Source organism: Homo sapiens, chromosome 2 (assembly GCF_000001405.40).
Source record: "Homo sapiens chromosome 2, GRCh38.p14 Primary Assembly".
Taxonomy (NCBI): domain Eukaryota; kingdom Metazoa; phylum Chordata; class Mammalia; order Primates; family Hominidae; genus Homo; species Homo sapiens.
The window spans coordinates 118159078-118179671 of NC_000002.12; the positions used below are offsets into that span (position 1 = coordinate 118159078).

General features: G+C 42.0%; 1 annotated feature.

The window, feature by feature from the left end:
• Window positions 10362–10411: an enhancer, noted in NCBI's record as "active region_16442". NCBI's record gives its function as "activates an Ori minimal core promoter by ATAC-STARR-seq in GM12878 lymphoblastoid cells {active_cell/tissue: GM12878}" and the evidence as "EXISTENCE:reporter gene assay evidence [ECO:0000049][PMID:35858748]".

Consider the following 20594-nt stretch of genomic DNA (forward strand, 5'->3'; position numbering starts at 1 on the left):
GTGAAGAAATGGAAAAAGATATTCTGTGAAAACCAAAAGAGAACAGGGGTGGCTATGTTTACATCAGACAAAATAGACTGCAAGTCAAAAAAGTGTCACAGGTGACAAAGAAGAATATTATGTAATGACAAAAGAGTCAATTCACTAGGAATATACAACAATTATGAATATACATGTACCCAACATTAGAATACCTAAATATATAAAGCAAACATTGACAGAACTGAAGAGAGAAATAGATAGCAATACGATAATAGCAGGAGACTTAAATATCCCACTTTTAATAACAGACTGAAGATCCATACAGAAGACCAATAAGGAAGCAGAGAACATGAACAACGCTATAGGCCAAATGGGCCTAATAGATATATACAGAATATTTCACCCAGCAGCAGCAGAATACACATTCTTCTCAAGCACACATAGATCTTTCCCTAGGATAGATCACATTTTAGGTCACAAAACAAGTCTTAACAAACTTAAAAAGACTGGAATTATACCAAGTATCTTTTCTGACTACAATGGAATAAAACTAGAAATCAAGAGCTTAAAGAAAACAGTAAAACCCACAAACATGTGAAAATTAAACAATACTCTTGAACAACTATTGAGTCAAAATAGAAATCAAAAAGAAAATTGGAAAATAAGGCAAATGGAAATGAAAACACAACATACCAAAACTTGTGTGATGTGGCAAAACCAGTTTTAACAGGGAAGTTAATGCTGATAAATGTCTACATTAACCAAAGAAAGATTTCAATAAAAAGCCAATTTTATACCTCAAGGATATAGAAAAAAAAAAAAAAAGAACAAACCAAGCCCAAAGTTGGCAGAAGGAAAGAAATGATAAAGATTGGAGCAGAAATAAACAAAATAGAAAATAGAAAGACAATAGCAAAAAAATCAATAAACTAAGAGTTTGTTTTTTTGGAAAGATAAACAAAATTGCAAACTCCTGCTACACTGAAAAAAAGAAAGAAGACTAAAATACAATTAGAAATAAAATAAGAGACATTGCAACTGATATCACAGGAATTCAAAGGAACATAACATATCTGTTTTGAACAATAACATACCATCAAACAGGATAACTTAGGAGCAATGGATAATTCCTAGAAATACACAACCTACAAAGACTAAATTATGAAGAAGTAGAAAGTCTGAACAGATCTATGACTAGTATGGAGATTGAACCAGTAACCAAAAATCTCCCAACAAGGGAAAGCTCAGGACCAGATGGCTTCACTGGTGGATTCTACCAAACATTTAAGGAATTAATGCCAATTCTTCTCAAACTCTTCCAAAAAATTGAAGAGGAGGGAACACTTCCAAACTCATTACATGAGGACAGCATTACCTTGATACCAAAGCCACACAAAGACACCACAAGAAAAGAAAATTACAGGCCAATATCCCTCATGAAAATAGATGCAACAAAATACTAGCAAACTGAATTAAACATTAAAAGGATCATACATCATAACCAAGTGGGATTCATCCCTAAGATGCAAGGATATAAAATCAATTTATGTGATACACCACATTAACAGAATATAGGATATAAATCACATGATTGTCTCAATTGATGCAGAAAAAGCATTTGACAAAATTCAACACCCCTTCATGATAAAAACTCTCAACAAACTAGGAACAGAAGTAAAATATCTCAGCATAATGAAGACCATCTATAAAAAGCCTACAGCTAACATCGCACTCAATAGTAAAAAACTAAAAGCTTTTCCTCTAAGATTAGGAATAAGGCAAGGATGCTTACTTTCACCTTTTCTATTGTAGGGGCCAAGGGAAAATTACTCTTTATCTTCAGATGGTTCACTGAAAAATCAACTGATAAAGGTGGATTAATTGGAGAAAAGGCATACAAATTTATTAACTTGTATATGGGAGAGAACCACAGCATAATTACCCCAATCACCCAGTAGGTTTCAGAACCTTATGTGCCATCTTGAGGTTACAGAAGGAATGGGGGTTGGATATCAGCAAAACAGATTATGGGAGGGGGAGAAGAGGAAGCCTGGCTAACAAAGGTGGTCCTGCTATGTAAGTGAAACCTCACAGGTAGTAGCCTTCAGAGAGAATGAATAATGAATGAATGTTTTCTTCAGATCTTTTTTTTTTTTTTTTTTTTTTTTTTTTTTTTTGCATGTGTGTGGAGACAGGGTCTTGCTCTATTGACCAGACTGGAGTTCAGTGGCACAACCATGGCTGTCTGCAGCCTTGAACTCCTCGTCCCAAGCAATCCTCCAGCCTCAGCCTCTCAAGTAGCTGGGACTACAGGTACACGCCGTCACACCTGGCTAACCGTTTTTTTTTGTTTTGTTTTTTGAGATGGAGTCTCACTAGATTGCCCATGCTGATTTTGAACTCCTGGACTCCAGTGATCCTCCTGCCTTGGCTTCCCAAAGTGCTTGGATTGGAGACATGAACCACTGCACCTGGACTTTCAGACCTTTAAATGTATTATACTCTCAGTTAATCTTTTGTAGATAGGACGAGGGAGAGCCCCAGAGAAAGCCTGGCAGCATCAATGAAGATTTCGTACAAATGCAAATCTCCCCTCCAAAGACAGCTTTGCAGGGCTACCTCTGTTTGCAGACTTGCTGAACAGCCACCTCAAAATATGTCAAGGAAGTATATTTGGGGATGAAATACTTTGATTTCCCTCACTCTTCAATGCAACATCGGAATTCCTATCCAGAGCAATTAGGCCAAAAAACAAACAAAAAGGTACTTAAATCACAAAGAAGTAAAATTGCTCCTATTTGCAGATGACATGATCTTACGTATAGAAAACCCTAAAGACTTCATAAAAATTTTCGTTGGAACTAATAAACATATTCAGTAAAGTTTCAGAATACAACATTAACATACAAATATCACTTGCACACACATTAACAATGAATATGAAATGGAAATTAGGAAAACATTCCCATTTACACTAGCACCAAAAAGAATAAAATACCTAGAAATAAACTTAACTAAGGAAGCAAAAATCTTGTATACCAAACACTACAAAGCATTGTTGAAAGAAATTAAACAAGACACAAGCAAATGGAAAGTCATCTGTGTGTTCATGGATTGGAAGACTTAATATTGTTAAAATGTGCATACTTTTTAAGACAATCTGCAGATTCAATGCAATTCCTAAAAAAAATTTCGTTAGTATTTTTTACCAAAATAGAAAAACAAAATTCTACTATGCAGCCACAAAAAAGAACAAGAACACATCTTTTGTAGGAACATAGATGGAACTGAAGGCTATTATCCTTAGCAAGCTAAAGCAGGAACAGAAAACCAAATACCACATGTTGTCACTTATAAGTGGGAGCTAAATGATAAGAACTTATGAACACAAAGAATAAAACAACAGACAGGTCTACTTGAGGGTGGAGGTTGGGGGGAGGGAGAGGAGCAGAAAAGATAGTTATTGGGTACTCTGCTTAATATCTGGGTGATGAAATAATCTTTACAACAAACCCCCATGGCACTTGTTTTCCTATGTAACATGTACCCCTGAACCTAAAAGTTAAAAAAAGAAAAAAATTCTAAAAATAATTTGGAACCACAAAAGACCAATAGCCAAATAAATCTTGAGAAAGAATGACAAGGCAGTCATCACACTCTCTGACATCAAAATATAGGACAAAGCTATAATAATTAAAACAGAATTGTCATGGATAGATATATAGAAAAATGAAACAGAATAGAGAGCCCAGAAAAAAATAACTATGCATATATGTTTAATTGATCTTCAATAAGGGTGCCAAGGATATACAGTTGGAAAAAGATCATCTCTTCAACAAATGGTGATAAGAAAACTAGATATCCACATGTAAAAGAATGAAATTGGCCCTTTATCTGACACCATACGCAAAAATCAACTCAGAATGGTTTAAATGATTGAATGTAAGACACAAACCTATAAAACGCCTAGAAGAAGACATTGGGGGAAAGTGCCATGACAATAGTCTTGGCAATGATTTTGTGGATATGACAGCAAAAGCAGAGGCAACGACAACAAAATAAACAAGTGGGACTACATCCAACTAATAAGCTTCTGCACAGCAAAGAACACAATCAAGAGTGAAAAGACAACATATAGAATAGTAGAAAATTCATATGATTTGGCTGTGTCCCCACCGAAATCTCACCGTGAATTGTAACTCCCACAATTCCCATGTTCCATGGCAGGAACCCAGTGGGAGGTGATTGAACTATGGGGGCAAGTCTTTCTTGAGCTGTTCTCGTGATAGTGAATCAGGCTCACGAGATCTGATGGTTTTAAAAAGGGGAGTTTCCCTGCACAAACTCTCTTCATTTGTCTGCTGCCATGTGAGATGTGCCTTTCACCTTCCACCATGATTGTGAAACCTCCCCAGCCATGTGGAACTCTGAGTTCAGTAAACCTCTTTCTTTTGTAAATTGCCCAGTCTTGGGTGTGCCTTTTTTTTTTTTTTTTTTTTGAGATGGAGTCTCGCTCTGTCACCCAGGCTGGAGTGCAGTGGCATGATCTCCACTCACTGCAAGCTCACCCAGGCTGGAGTGCAGTGGCGTGATCTCCACTCACTGCAAGCTCTGCCTCCTGAGTTCACGCCATTCTCCTGCCTCAGCCTCCTAAGTAGCTGGGACTACAGGCACCCACCACCATGCCCGGCTATTTTTTTTGTATTTTTAGTAGAGACAGGGCTTCACCATGTTAGCCAGGATGGTCTTGAACTCCCGACCTCAGGTGATCCACCCGCCTTGGCCTCCCAAAGTGCTGGGATTACAGGCGTGAGCCACTGCGCCCGGCCGGGTATGTCTTTATCAGCAGCGTGAAGACGGACTAATACAGTAAATTGGTAGCAGTAAAGTGGGGTGTTGCCAAAAAGATACCTGAAAATGTAGAAACAACCTTGTAACTAGGTAACAGGCAGAGGTTGGAACAGTTTGGAGGGCTCAGAAGAAGGCAGGAAAATGTGGGAAAGTTTAGAACTTCCTAGAGACTTGTTGAATGGCTTTGACAAAAATGCTGATAGTGATATGAACAATAAGGTTCAGGGTGAGGTGGTCTCAGATGGAAATTAGGAACTTGTTGGGAACTGGAGCAAAGGTGACTCTTGTTACGTTTTAGCAAAGAGACTGGTGGCATTTTGCTCCTGCCCTAGAGATTTGTGGAACTTTGAACTTGAGTGAGATGACTTAAGGTATCTGGTGGAAGAAATTTCTAAGCAGCAAAGCATTCAAGAGGTGACTTGGATGCTGTTAAAGGCATTCTAGTTTCAAAAAGGAAACAAAGCATAAAAGTTTGGAAAATTTGCAGCCTGACAATGCAGTAGAAAAGAAAATCCCATTTTCTGGGGGAGAAATTCAAGCTGGCTGCAGAAATTTGCATAAGTAATGAGGAGGCAAATGTTAATCACCAAGACAATGGGGAAAATGTCCCCAGGGCATGTCAAACACATCTGTGGCAGTCCCTCCCATGACAGGCCCTGAGACCTAGGAGGAAAAAGTGGTTTTGTGGGCCGGGCCCAGAATCTCCATGCTGTGTGCAGCTTAGGGACTTGGTGCCCTGTGTCCCAGCCGCTGCAGCTGCGGCTGAAAGGGGTCAATGTAGAGCTTGGGCTGTGACTTCAGAGTGTGCAAACCTCAAGTCTTGGCAGCTTCCACATAGTGTTGACCCTGTGAGTGCACAGAAGTCAAGAATTGAGGTTTGGGAACCTCTGCCTAGATTTCAGATGTATGGAAACATCTGGATGTCCAGGCAGAAGTTTGCTGTAGGGGCAGGATACTCATGGAGAACCTCTGCTAGTATGGTGCAAAAGGGAAATGTGGGGTGGGAGCCCCCACACAGAGTCCCTACTGGACCACCACCTAGTGGAGCTGTGAGAAGAAGGCCACCATCCTCCAGATCCCAGAGTGGTAGATCCACTGACAGCTTGCACTGTGTGCCTGGAAATGCCACAGACACTCAATGCCGGCCCATGAAGGCAGCTGGGAGGGAGGTTTTACCAGCAAAGCCACAGGGACGGAGCTGCCCCAGACCATGGGAACCCACCTCTTGCATCAGCGTGACTTGAATGTGAGACATGGAGTCAAAGGAGATCATTTAGGAGCTTTAAGATTTGACTGCCCTGCTGGATTTTGGACTTGCATGGGGCCTGTAGCCACTTTGTTTTGGCCAATTTCTCCCATTTGGAATGGCTGTATTTACCCAATGACTGTACCCCCATTGTAACTAGGAAGTAAGTAACCTGCTTTTGATTTTAGAGGCTTATAGGCAGAAGGGACTTTCCTTGTCTCAGATGAGACTTTGGACTGTGGACTTTTGAGTTAATGCTGAAATGAGTTGAGTCTTTGGGGGACTGTTGGGAAGAAATGATTGGTATTGAAATGTGAAGAAATGAGATTTGGGAGGGAACAGGGGAAGAATGATATGATTTGGCTTCGTGTCCCCACCCAAATCTTGTCTTGTAGCTCCCATAATTCCCACATTTTGTGGTGGGACCCTGTAGGAGATGACTGAATCATGGGGGCAGCTCTTTCCGGTGCTCTTCCTGTGATAGTGAATGGGTCTCATGAGATCTGATGATTTTAAAAATGGGAGTTTCTCTGTACAGGCTCTCTCTGTCTTTGCCTGCTGCCATCCATGTAAGATGTGACTTGCTCCTCCTTGCTTTCCACTATGATTGTGAGGCCTCCCCAGCCATGTGGAACTGTAAGTCCAATAAACTTTTTTATTTGTTAAATTGCCCAATCTTGGGTATGTCTTTATCGGCAGCATGATGGACTAATACAGTAAATATTTGTAAACCAAACATTTGATAAAGGGGCTCCTATACCTCAATAGTAAAAAACCAAATAACCTGATTAAAAAATAGCTGAAGGACTTGAATAGATATTTCTCCAAAGAAGACTTACAAGCAACCAACCCATACATGAAAAAGTGCTTAAAGTAACTAATCATCAGAGAAATGCAAGTCAAAACTACAATGAGATATCACCTCACACCTCTCAGGATGGTTATTATCAAAAAACCAAAAGACCACAAGTGTTGGCAAGGATGTGAAAAAGTTGGAACACTTTCACCCTGTTGGTAGGAATGCAAAATAGTGCAGCCACTATGGAAAACTGCATGAAGGCTCTTAAAAAAATAGAACTGCCATTTAATTTAGCAATCCCAATTCTGAGTATTTATCAAAACAGTTAAAACAAGGATCTCAAAGTGATATTGATGCCCCAATGTTCACTATAGCACTTTTCACAATAGCTAAGATGTGGAAACAACTTAAATGTTCATGGATAGATGAATGAAGGATATGTGTTATATACATTGGATATGATACTATTCAGCTTTCAAAAAGAAGGATATTGTGCAATATGTAACAACATGGATTAACCTTGAGGACATTATGCTTAGTGAAATAAGCTAGTAACAGAAAGACAAATGTTACATGATTCTACTTATAGGAGATATTTAAAATAGTCAAATTCATAGGATCAGAGTAGAATGATGATTCCCAGACTCTGGAGTAGAATGATGATTCCCAGACTCTGGGGGAGGAGGAAATGGAGAGTTACTGATCATTGGGCATAAAGTTTCAGTTAAGCAAGATAAATAAGCTCTGGAGAGCTGCTGTATAACATTGCATCTATAGTTAACAATAAGGCACTGTATACTTGCCATTTGTTAAGGGGGTACATCTCATGTTCTATTCTTACCACAATAAAATGTAGTGAAAAACAAAAACAAAAAAGCCCTAAAAGACACCAAAGAATGGACAGATAAGCCACAGGATGAGAAAAGATATTTGCAATACATATATCCAACGAAGGACTTTCACACAATATACAAAGATCTTCTACAGATCAATACACAAAAACAGACAACAACTTTACAAAAGAGGGAATGGTTCAAGTGGCCAATAAATATATTAAAAGATCCTCATATTTATTAGTTATGAAGAAAATTATAACAACAGTGACATAGCAACACAGCCATTAGAATAGCTAAAATTATAAAGAAACTCAAAATACCAATTTTTGGAAGTTGTGGAGCAGATGAAACTTTTACACATTGTTGGTGGGAATGTTAATACAACGTTTTGGAAGACTGGCATTACCTAGTAAAAATGAGCAATTATGTTTCTTAATGATTCAGCAATTTTATCTCTAGGTATACATATTCAAGTGTGTGGCCACCCATTAGATGTTAAGAATGTTCAGCTGGGCATGATGGCTCACACCTGTAATCCCAGCACTTTGGGAGGCAGAGGAGGGAAAATCTCCTGAGCCCAGGAGGTTGTGGTGAGCCGTGATTGCACCATTGCATGCCAGCCTTGGTGACTGAGTGAGACTCCGTCTCAAAAAAACAGCAAAACAAAATAATGTTTGTAGCAGTAGTATTCATAATATTCCTAAATGGAATATTCCTCAAATGTTCATAAATAATAGAATGGATACATAAATTGTAATACACTCACCCAGTAGAATCCTATATAGCAATGGGAATGAGCAAGTTACTATTAGGCACAAAAACATGAATGGATCTCATAAATTATTGAGCTGAAGAAATCAGATGCCAAAGAATACATACTATGTGACTCCATTTATATGTTGTTCAAAAACATGCAAAATTTAAACTTTAGCAATAGAAGGAAGAACAGTGGTTACCTGGAGGTAAGGGGTGGGTGCGTAATGACTTGGAGAGAGCACGGAGGAGATTTCTGGGGCGCTAGCATACTCGATGTCCAGATATGGTGGTAACACAAGCATGTTCACTTTGGGGTTGGCTGACCTGAGCTTGAATCCTGGCTCTTGGGGAGTATGACCCCAACTTACGTAACCTCTCCAGGACTCAGTTTCTTTATTTGCAAAGTTCAGATAGTGAAACCCAGAAAGATTAATGACACGACAACAGGTAAAGCTCCTAGCCCAGGCCCTGGCATGAGCTGGGGCTCTGCAGTTATTCATTTCTTTCCCCTCACTCTGTGGTTATAAATGCACTGCCTGACCTAGTTAAACAAGATACCACCCCTTGTCCCCTCTTCCTCCTCTACCATCCACACACATCAGTGAGGCCTTCTTTTTATTTTTTATTTATTTTTATTTTTATTTTTTTTTAGATGAAGTCTCACTGTGTTGCTGTTGCCCAGGCTGGAGGGCAGGGGCCCGATTTCAGATCACTGGCTAACTGTAACCTCCACCTTCCTGGTTCAAGTGATTCTTGTGCCCCAGCCTCCCAAGAAGCTGGGATTACAGGCGCATGCCACCATGCCCAGCTAATTTTTGTATTTTTAGTAGAGATGGGGTTTTACCATGTTGGCTGGTCTTGAACCCCTGACCTCAGGTGATCCATCTGCCTGGGCCCCACAAAGTTCTGGGATTACAGTTGTGAGCCACTGCACCCAGGCAGTGAGGCATTCTTTATGAAATGATTTATCTTTTATGAAAGGGTAGAGGCAAGGGCAGCCATCTATGCAATAGGGACTCTGTCTATGGCTATTCAGCAGAGTAAAGATATGTAACTGGCCTAGATGCCAAATCTATAGGCTTGGCTTTCTCAGGCTGGGCTGCAGGCTGTATGTATAGTATGTATTCCTCAAATGTAAGGATCTTTCCTAGTTCCAACTCTCTTCATGGGGAGGGCATGGCCTCTCACATGCAGATAGATGCCTGTCACTTGATTCATTCAGTCTCTTAGAATAAAGGATGAGGCAATGGCGTGGAGGGTATCCCAAGCTTTGGCAGAATCCCAATTCTCAGGATTAACTTTTACCTCCCTGACCTCTCCCTGCAATTCCTTTTGGATCGGGTGTCCTTAGCTTCCTGTCCTAAACTGTTGGAGGGTGGTTGCCGGGCAGCTGTGAAACATCTGCCACCACATTCCACCTTCATTGGAGAGGTGGGCAAAGTGATATATGTGTGAATTTTCCAAATATTGTGTGTGTGTGTGTGTGCACTTGTATAAAATTTCATTTTTAAGGCCCTTCACAGAGTCTCAGGGATGAAAGCATGGAGTTGGTGCTATCATTATTACCGTGAGGCCCTCGTATTGCTTTGGCATATATAATGTTTCCCAGGCATATAACATTTTTCATTTAAAGAGGCAGCCTAGAGCACATTCCAACTTCAAAGATTTTCCTTTCTGGATGGTGGTTTTCTGCCCTAAGTCCTTGGGAAAATGTTGCCACATTTTTTTTTCTTTTTCTTTTTCTTTTTTAACCCAAGTGATTGACTTCCTTGAAAGGAGGAGATAGAGCTCTTGTAAAGATTTAATTTTTATGAGTTCTCTAATTCTCTCCGGGAAAAAACAGATTACTCCTCAAAGTTACTCTATGGGGTGTAGAGCCCCAGTGGCAAGGCAGAGGCCGGCCCATGGGTGTGACTTCCTGTTTGGTGCCGGTGGTGCACTGCAGGCTGTGGAGCTCAGGGTCAGAGGGAAGAATGCAGTCTCTGGCAGAGCCGGCTTCAATTCCGGTTCCATTTCTTCTCAGCTATGTGTCCTTGGGCTTTTAACCTCATCCTCAAAAACAGAAACACCATCTCTGCTCTGAAGGACTAAATAAGATAGTGTACATAGGTGGTTTTCAACTGGGATGATTTTGCCTCCTCCCACCATGGGGTACTGGGCAATGCCTGGAGACATTTTTGGTAGTCAGGATTGGAAGTGGGGTTTGCTACTGGCATCTAGTGGGTAGAGGCAAGGGATGCTGCCAACATGCTACAGTGCCCAGGACAGCCCTGCAACAAGTAATTAATCAGCCCAGAATGCCAACAGTGCGAGGCAGGGAAACCCTGGTGTACATGGCCACTTGGGGCAGAGCTGTCCTTTAGTGGATCTTCCCTTCCTTTCTTTTTTCCTTTGGTCTGTAATTTCTTCCCCAATCATTTTCCCCATGGAGGACCTTCTTGGAATTTTTGATGTTTTTTTTTTTCCAGTGAGTTCACCCCCTGCTTCTCTGCTGTGGTTATTTTAGATCTCTTCACTCCCATCAGAACTCACACCCACAACCCCTTCCCTCTCACTCTTAGCAGATGACAAACTTAGAGGGAAAATTGACATTTCCAGAGAATTCATTCATTTTTTCTGCTCCCAAGCCCACTGACCTACTTCATCTGTACCTTTGAGGCAGACATGGCTATTTCTAACCCAGAGTTGCCCCTTTCTTCTTTCTCACTGAAGCACTGATTCTGTTCGTGTGCTGGGTGGGAACTGGGCCCAGCCTTGGTCTGTGCGTGACTGTTAAGTCCCAATTTTACATAATGAGATGTGTCAAGAAGTCTTGTGAAGTGCTTCTGAAAAATGTTTTTCTTTCTTCTAAGAGAAAAGTGCATGAAGAGAATTATGCCCTTTACGGACACATGGTTCCTGGTTATGAATGGGGTATGTAAGGATGTGATGCTTAGAGCTGCTGCAGCCATCCTGCAACCATGAGGCAAAGGTGAAACAAATTACAGAGCTGTTGATTCTGAGCCCTGCCAACATTGAACAGTTTAATTAAGGGTAGCAAAAAGCTACTGTTTGACTTTCAAATGTCCAAGCTACTTTCCAAGTTACAATCCCAGAGGGTGTACTGTTACCTGAACCCGACAGAGTTTCTAACATATACAGCATCTTCTTTCATTCTTGTCCCAGTGAAATACCTCCTGGATCCAATCTCCATCCATCTCCTCAGAGATTTGCCTCTACTATTATTATTATTTCCTCCCTCTCTTCTACATCTTTAAAACTTTTCGTTTCTTGTATTGGCTTTTTCTTAGATGTATTAAGACATGATCAAATCTCTCCCATATTACACAACAAACAAAAAGCATCATTCCCAAAACTCAGCCTATAGGTATTTCTTTCCAGGTACTTTCCTATCTTTCATCTTAATGTTTACAGTAAGTGCCTCCTAAGCTTTGCCTGCACTTGCTGTCTCCTCCTTCCTACCTCCTACATTCTCCTCCTTCATCTTGACAATCTGGATTCCACTCCTACCACTCCACTGAAACTTGCCAAGGTCACTGAGACTTCCACTTTGGACTATCCAATAAGTACTTCTCAAGTCAGATATCATCATAGCAAAATCAATTTACCCCACCCTGTTGATATCCTCTTTTTCCTTGGCTTCTGTAACACTGCTCTCTCTGTGGGGTTCCCTCCCATCTCTCTAGCTAATTTCCAGGCTCTTGTAATGACACATCCTCTTCTGCCCTGTTAGAGGGGCTTTGCTGGCTGTCCTCTCTTCCTTGTTGCCCCTGCTCTCTGTAGAACGTCATCAGCAGCCCAGCAAACATTCATTATCTGGGGGCTGACATAATGCCAAACTTCTGTCTCCAATCCAAAATTTCCTGGTTTGGAGTCCACGTACTCATCTGTTCTTAGACAACTCCACTTGGATATCTCTCAGGAACCCCGATCTTGATATATCCAAAGCTAAACTCAAGATCTTTCTCCAAAACCTCATATTAGTCAATGGTCCCACCATTTACCTAGCTGCCTCAGCCAGACACCTGGGGGCCACCATTGACTGCCTCCTCACCCTACCTTTAACTCCGATCTCTCATGAGCACTTTGAGTAATATTCTGCTTTCTGTAGTGTCCAATGCTCTCTACCTTTCTTTATTTCCTGCAACTCTCTCCTTACTTGTCTCCCTGGCTATCTTGCCCTGCTCCACCCAAATCTGCTACTGAAATGCAAATCTGACCATGTGTGTCACTCTCCCACTTGAAACCTTATGGTGATTATTACCATGTGGGTCAGACTCATGATCATGGCTTATGAGGCTGTCTTCTGGTCACTTCTTTCCCTCACTCTCTGGGGGAGCGCAGGCCTGAGATGCAAGCCTTCCTACAAAGCTCAAATCCCATCTCCTCTTCCCCACCCCACCAACCTGGATGACTCTACTTGCTTCTGAAAGCTGAGATGTCACTGGCCTCTAACAAGTCTCTCTACACCCACCTGTCTGAATGAGGAGCCACTCCCATGTCCCAACTCTCCCTCGTGTCTCAGAGCACTGAGCTGAATTCACATCATTTCTTTAAGCATCTGTATCCCTGTTAAACTGTCAGCTCCATGACATGTCCCAACTCTCCCTCGTGTCTCAGAGCACTGAGCTGAATTCACATCATTTCTTTAAGCATCTGTATCCCTGTTAAACTGTCAGCTCCATGAGGGCAGACCTTGTGTCTGACTTGTTCCCCATTTGTATATGCTCCCTGAATATTTGTGGAGTGACAAGAATAACAGGATGAATGAACAATTATGGATATGTCAAGTGTGCTCCCTTGCACCGCCAGACGACCTCTCCCTCTGGCTCCTTCGGACTTCTCTCTTTCTGTGCCCCATTTCCAGCCCAGCACCTTCTACAGTCCACGTGCATTTTCTGCCCACCTTTGCATACATAATCTCATTACATTTCTTTTTATCCTTACACATGACACATATGGGGTGGCATTTTTATTTCCATTGCAGAGATAAAGTTTAGTGAGGTGAAGTAAACTGCCAGAGGTCACGTGGCTGAGAAGCTAGCATTCAAATGTTTTGTTCTTTGGTGTCCGTGCTTCTTCTACCACAAGAATCTTGTATGAACATTTTATAGAGGCGTTTCATTTACAGTATTGTTTTGATGTTCATGTAAATGTGTTTGTATGTTGCTAAGAAGAGTGTTGAGATATGGTCCAGGTCTTTTTTTAACTCATAGGTTCTTAGGAAATAGTTGTAGGTGGATTGGCTGATAATTCCAATTTAGAGCTGGGTGCAGTTTCTGGGTGGGAAGGGCGGGAAAGACGAGTGTTCTTCAGGGCTGATTTCAGGACTCCTCTCTTCCTCTCTGCTAGAGGACAAGTTCATCTTTAACTTCAAACTCTATTTCTGGCACAAATGGGAGCACAGAAATGTTAATTCTCTTCCTTCTGCCCCTCAATAACTTTTCTGAAATCTCTCTAAGAACCCTTCCTGGCACCTGATTTCATGGAGTTTGCACGGCCTTGACGCCTAGCTTCCAACTTTGTGTTTCTGAATGTTCTATCATGATTAGGTGCTTCATAAATGGAGCCCTAGGGATGTTAAACACAGCAAGTGGTAGCCCTGTCAGCATCCCAGGGATCTTGGGAGAAACTCTCCTTGTATTTAGATTCTACAAGGTCCCCTTGAGAAATTTGACACTATTCTGTCATCACTGTCTTTTAAGAAAAGGTTGGCCAGGCGTGGTGGCTCACGCCTGTAATCCCAGCACTTTGGGAGGACGAGGCTGGTGGATCATGAGGTCAGGAGATCGAGACCATCCTGGCTAACACGGTGAAACCCTGTCTCTATTAAAAAATACAAAAAAATTAGCTGGGTGTGGTGGTGGGTGCCTGTAGTCCCAGCTACTCGGGAGGCTGAGGCAGGAGAATGGTGTGAACCCGGGAGGTGGAGCTTGAAGTGAGCCGAGATCGCACCACTGCACTCCAGCCTGGGCGACAGAGCGAGACTCCGTCTCAAAAAAAAAAAAAGTGTGTTCCTCATTTATTTGTTTATTTACTCACCAAATAAGTATATGTTTTTGAAAACTAGTGGTAGGCTTTGCATGAGCAATGAAGAATACAGATCACAGAGAGACAATTACAATAACTGGAGAAATTCTGGGGGCGAGGTGTTAGGAAAGGCTGTCTGGAAGAAGTGCTGAGCTCACCGAGGGCTCAAAGATAAGGACGTACTCTGTGGGGGCAGTGTGGGTGGCACCATGGCAGGCACTGGAAAGGGGTGCACGAGAAAACCAAGCCTTGGTCTCTGCCTTTCAGAAACTCAAAATTAAGTTAAAAGGCAAAGTTAAGTCAAAATTGAATTAAAAACCACGTCCTATGAGATGGTTAAGAAACAATGTCAAGTGTTCGCTATTCAGTGTCCAAATGGATGAAATAGATTTTAAAAGCTAAAGAATTCCCACAGTGTTCAGGATGAGGGTCTCATCATCTAAAAGCTTCCCTTTTAAATATATTTATTCCTCCTCCTGAGGAAGTGAGTTCCCCATTACTAGAGGTATTCAAGCAGGTCTGGAGGGCCACTTATTAATAAGGTTGGGTGGTCAGGAGAGCAGGCAGAATCATAAACAAGACAGAACAGTGTTTCCTAAGTTGGTAGTTTTTTTTTCCTAAAATTTCTATATGAACTTCAATGGCCAAATACCTTTCTCACGATTGTTGCTATGCCATAACTCCAACGGTGTTGTTATTTATACACTGTTTTAATTAAATAGATAGATTTAAAAGGGAAGCTGGTGCAGATCTATGTCTATGATATAACCTCTAATATTTAAGTGAAAATAGTAAGTTGTAAAAAAGTGTGATGGATCCCATCATTTGTGTGAAAAGTTGCATTTATATTCATATATACTTGTTAGTGAATGAACTATTGCTAGAAAGTACAAAACAAGCTGATAACATTGGTTGCCACTGGGGCGGGATGCTGACAGACTAGGGCACATACATGTTATTTATTGAAAAAATAGAATGAAAATCATTTAAAAAATCAGTATCAATTCCACACCTATTTTGTAAATTTGCATGTATGCCATATGTCCCGAAAAGAAGGCTTGAGTAGTAAACACCTGCCTTTCTTTATTTTCCTGTATTCTCCAAAATTTCTACAGGGAACATGTACATGATTTTTAATTTAAAAATTGCATTAAATGATACTATCAGATAATAGAGAATAAAGCAGTCAGGGTTAAGAGGTGGGAGGAGGCAGCAAGAGCTATACACAGCTTAGAGAGCAGGGATGGGGAAAACACTAAGGCTGGGATGAGGGAAGATATCTGGGGTTTGTGATCTGGAAGGGAGGTTTGACCTGATGGAGAAAGGTTGGACCAGCGATCAGGAGGAAAGAATCCCAGGGGGATCGGAGATTGACTTAGATTCCTCCAGTGAGGGGATGAGAGCTTGGGAAGGGCTTTGGCTAGAGGAGTCCTGGAGACTGAGAGCAGGTTCATACCTGAGCAAAGGGAACCAGCAAGCTGGAGGAGGCCCAGGGTGTAGAACCAAGATGGAGCCAAGCTGGTGGTGATGAGTGCCAAAGGGTTATCTGGGCCACCGAGTTGCACAATCCTGGGAGGCACCTTCTACTTGCAATTGTACATACAACTGAATGGGGGAACATGGCTACCATGGCTGGGACCCGGGAGGGGTGCTGGGTGGGTTGAGGGAAGGCAGGCTCAGTTGGGGGACTACCAGAGGTGAGAGTTGAGAAAAGGCAGGATGGAGGTAGAGGATTAGGAAGGGCTCTACACTGGGATGAGCTGCAGTCTAGGAGATGTAGGGGCAGGCGGCTAGTCAGGGAAGATCTGGTTTGGGCAATCTTGTGTCCCAACTGCAGTAGGTTAGGTGGGCTGCCTTCCTGATGTGGAACATGACCATGGTGTGCCTGCAGGCAAACTCTTAGCAAATGAAGTCGGGGTGTTATCTGAGAATTGCTTAATCATCTCCATTCCAGTGGGGGCAGGCAAGTCACGCCTTAGGAAATGTTGGCTGGGGTTAAGGTAGGACTAGATAGCCTCATTGGTCATACAGCACCAGTAGATGCAGGATTCTAAGCAGCTGAGAAGCCCTAACTTGCTGGAGTGGTTGAGGTAGAGGGAGGGCTCATGGTTTCTGGGGAGAGGGCCCATGGTTTCTGGAGGCAGAGGTGACAAAAGTGAAAGAGAGCTATGGAAGGGAGGGTAACCTCTAAAAATTGATGCATTGAATCCATGCATGATGTTCTCATAGGAAGGGTGGTGGGCAGCAGGGAGGAAGCAAACATAGTCATCATTTTCCTTGACCTCATGGTCATTCAACGGGTCCTGCTAGGTGGAATTTAATATAATCAACTTGGCCTTCCACCTTGTCCCATACTAATGAAAATTCCAGTTCATATAAAGCATTTCTCCAAGACAGCCTTATTGGTCTTCTTGGAAAGGAATATCAGGCCTCTTAGAAACCTTAAATTTAAGATTATAAAAACATTCTTTTCCATAGTTCTGAAACTCTACCACTGTATTTATTTCTCTCTTTGTTTAGGAATCCATCAGAGACATGTATTTCCTTCCCCTTTCAGACTAGGCAAGAAGGAGACACGCTTTTCTTTTCCCTAATTTCCCTTAGAAGAAAATGACATTTGCCTATACAGTTCTATTTTTTTTCTTTTGGTTTTTAATTATAAAAAGCTTCTAGTAGCTGATTTATTATATAGGGAACAAATTGTGTCTTTGAGACCCACTGCTCTGTAATTACTTGAGTTAGCACTGCAGATATCTACACAGGGGCCAGCAGTCAATTTTGACTCAGAGTAGATAATACACGGACTGCTATTAAGTTTAATGTAGATTAATGTGAGTTGCTTCCCTTTGCACGTATGTGTGCAGGTACCAATAATTAAGATTAATTTCTGCTAGGTAGAATGGCCTTCGTTGTGCACAGTGCCAGAAAATGCTTCTTTAATAGCTGCTAATTGGATATATTTGCTTTGATGGTGAAATCCTGATTAGTCTTGTTACCCTGAAAACTCCCCTCCTTGCTCCTTCTCCCCACCCCCACCTACTGTTTAGGGGAAGAATAGATTGACAGTCTTCTTCCCCTAAAGCAGAGTCAGAGCTTTGGAGGTGATGAGCTCTTTTGCACTCTTCTATGTAAAGCCATGTTGTGCAGTCCATTTTCCAGCAAATCAGTCATAGCTGCTTCTACTTACTGAGAGCCGACTACATGCTCGCTGCTTTATTTTCATGTTCATTCTGAACAACACCACTGTGGGGTGGAAATCACCACTCTGTTTGTTCAAATGAAGATATTGAGTTTCAGCAATGTTAAGGCAGTTGTTCAAGGCCACAAGCTGGGAAATGATAGAATGGAAATTTCAGTCCAACCACTTTCTGGTAAATACATCAGAATTTTAAAAATTGCCAAGATGAGCCATTATCTTATCGGCACTGTTCTTTTTCATTTTCCTGTTTTTCTGCAGGTCTCAGAGCCCACACTGAAGTGCCATTTCCCCTCCCTACCCCAGATCTCTCCTCACTATAATTCCCCTCCCTGCTGTCCTGATGGTTCAAAGCCACTTAGAAATAAAGTGGAAGGCTTCAGAGTTGGTCAGAAGCACAAAGCCACACCTGGAAATTTCCTCAACAGGTCCCAAAGGCTAGCTTATGGAAGGGAAAGTTGTAAAATGGTGATAGTTGTAGAAAGGTTTTCTCCTTAGCAGTAATGCCCTTCCCCACTCCCGTTCCACCACAGGAACTTCCTTTCTTATATATTCAAGTTTTTTTGCATCAAAAGCAAAGCTCCTGGCAGCAGCAATCGAGAACCAGGTTCTACTGGCCAAGTCAGGTGGTAAAGGGATGAAGCTGAGGGAACCACATGAGGAGAGAAGGCTCTCAGATGAACTTTGCCTCTCTTCATTTTGCTCCAGGTTGGCAGAGCCTTCAGAAGACCTGAGGCGTGGTTTGAGGCACCCAGTGGGTGTTGGCTGACCTCACAGGGCTCCATGGAAGGACTGTGCGATTTTCTGCCTGGGACAGCTGAGTTGGCATCTTGCCTCTGTCACAGATGAGCTGTGTGACCTTAGTCAGCTTACTCAACCCCTCTGAGCCTCAGTTTCCTTTCTTCCATTGCCATCTGATTCACAGATTTTTCATTTTCCCAGAGGAAATGAGATTGTCTTTATTATATTTAATGCAGGATTTGATAACTTTAATGAATACCATTTCCCTTTCTATTTGTAGAAGCTGCAGCCCTCTTGATGAGTTTAAGAGGAAGTAACAACCTTCATAAAATGTTTTCCTGGAGGAGCTGAATTTGCACTGACAACACTGGGTAGAAAAAATTTTCTCTAGATCTCTTCCAGGAGATTCACTGAAATCCTTCCTCATCTATAAATTTAGAAAAGAGACTCAGTCATCGGGGTCCCAGTGGCATTTTGAATGGGCAATTCATCATTGCATGGGACTGTCCCACACATTAGAATACACTTAGAACTTTCCCTGCCCACTAACTACCCACAGCACCCTCAGTCATTGCAACAACTCACTGTCACATGTCTGAATGCCCTCCAGGGAGATCCTATGCCCCACCCCAGCTGATAACCACTAGCTGAGTCTCCTAGTTCTAACATTCCTCCTGGCACCCTGCACCCCTTTCCCTGGAGTGTAAGGGCACCATAAGTCAGGCTCGTCCTCTTGGCCACAGCTTCTGGTGGTTTGAAGAGGTCACCCATGAACGAGGCCCTGCTGTGCAGCAGTCTCCTGCAGCAGTCTCCTGCTGTGCAGGCTTCCAGGGCTGGTTTAGCCACCCATCTTCCTTCCTCACCATTGGGTGGTTAATTTCAGCATGGTTCCCAAATCCTTGCTGGCCAAAGAGCATGTGGACCAGAAGAGGTGAAATGCTCTGATCCCTTTCTTGATGCTCTGTTCTTCTGTGGCTCTGAGTTGAAAGAAGAGATTTAAGTCTTGTGTCCCTTTTGCACAATGACTTACTTATAGGCTAACTGACTCCTTTCATCAGGAGTTTAAAGTGCAATTAGAAAAACTATTGTCGATATTTAGATAACAGGACATGATCTGGGGGCTAAGTCAGGTAAAGGTAATTAATAGCTGTGAAGATTTTTAATGAGGCCTGGATTCTGCTTCCAGAACTCTGTATGTAGATCTCACTACAATTGTAAGGTGAATATATTTAACTCTATTTTTTTTCCTGATAAAAATATAGCCTAGTATTAGTAGCTCTGCTGATGGAGTCTGGCCAGAGTTTGCGCCTCCTTCTGTCATTTATTAGCTGTATGATATCATGTGGATTACTAAACCTCTCATGGTTCTAGTTTCTCATTTCAAAATGGAGAAAATAAAATCTATCTTGCAAAAGGCTGCTATGAGAACTAAATAAAATAATCTCACAAGGTAACCAATATGATGCCTCACAAATGGTAGGTATATAACTAAGAGTGTTATTATTAAGAAGAAGAGTTCATAAAGAAGCAAAAATTAGGCCAGGCGTGGTGGCTCACACCTGTAATCCTGGTAAGTTGGGAGGCTGAGGCGGGTGGATCACCTGAGGTCAGGAGTTCGAGACCAGCCTGACCAACATGATGAAACCCGGTCTCTACTAAAAATACAAAAATTAACCAGGCATGGTGACATGCACCTGTAATCCCAGCTACTCAGGAGGCTGAGACAGGAGGATCACTTGAACCCGGGAGGCAGAGGTTGTAATGAGCTGAGATGGCGCCATTGCACTCCAGCCTGGGAAATAAGAGCAAAACTCTGTCTCAAATAAATAAATAAATAAATAAGCAAAAATTGTAAGCCCCTAGGATGGGCTTTAATTACAGCAAGATGGGCCAAAGTTGGCTCTGAAAGAAACTTTTGAGAGGTGTATACTGTTTGATCTTGGGACAAAGAGTGAGAGAATATCTGGAATACCGGGAAATCTTTAGGAATGTGTAACCTATTCCATCAGAAGTAGTTCTGCTTATGCCTGAGCAGAGAGAGGGAGAGGGATTAGGTTAGTGGTTTTCAGACCTCAGACTGTATGTGTGTGTGTATGTGATTGCTGCATGCTCAGCTGCTAGTACACATCAGATGGGCACAGGCATGTGCCAGGCAGG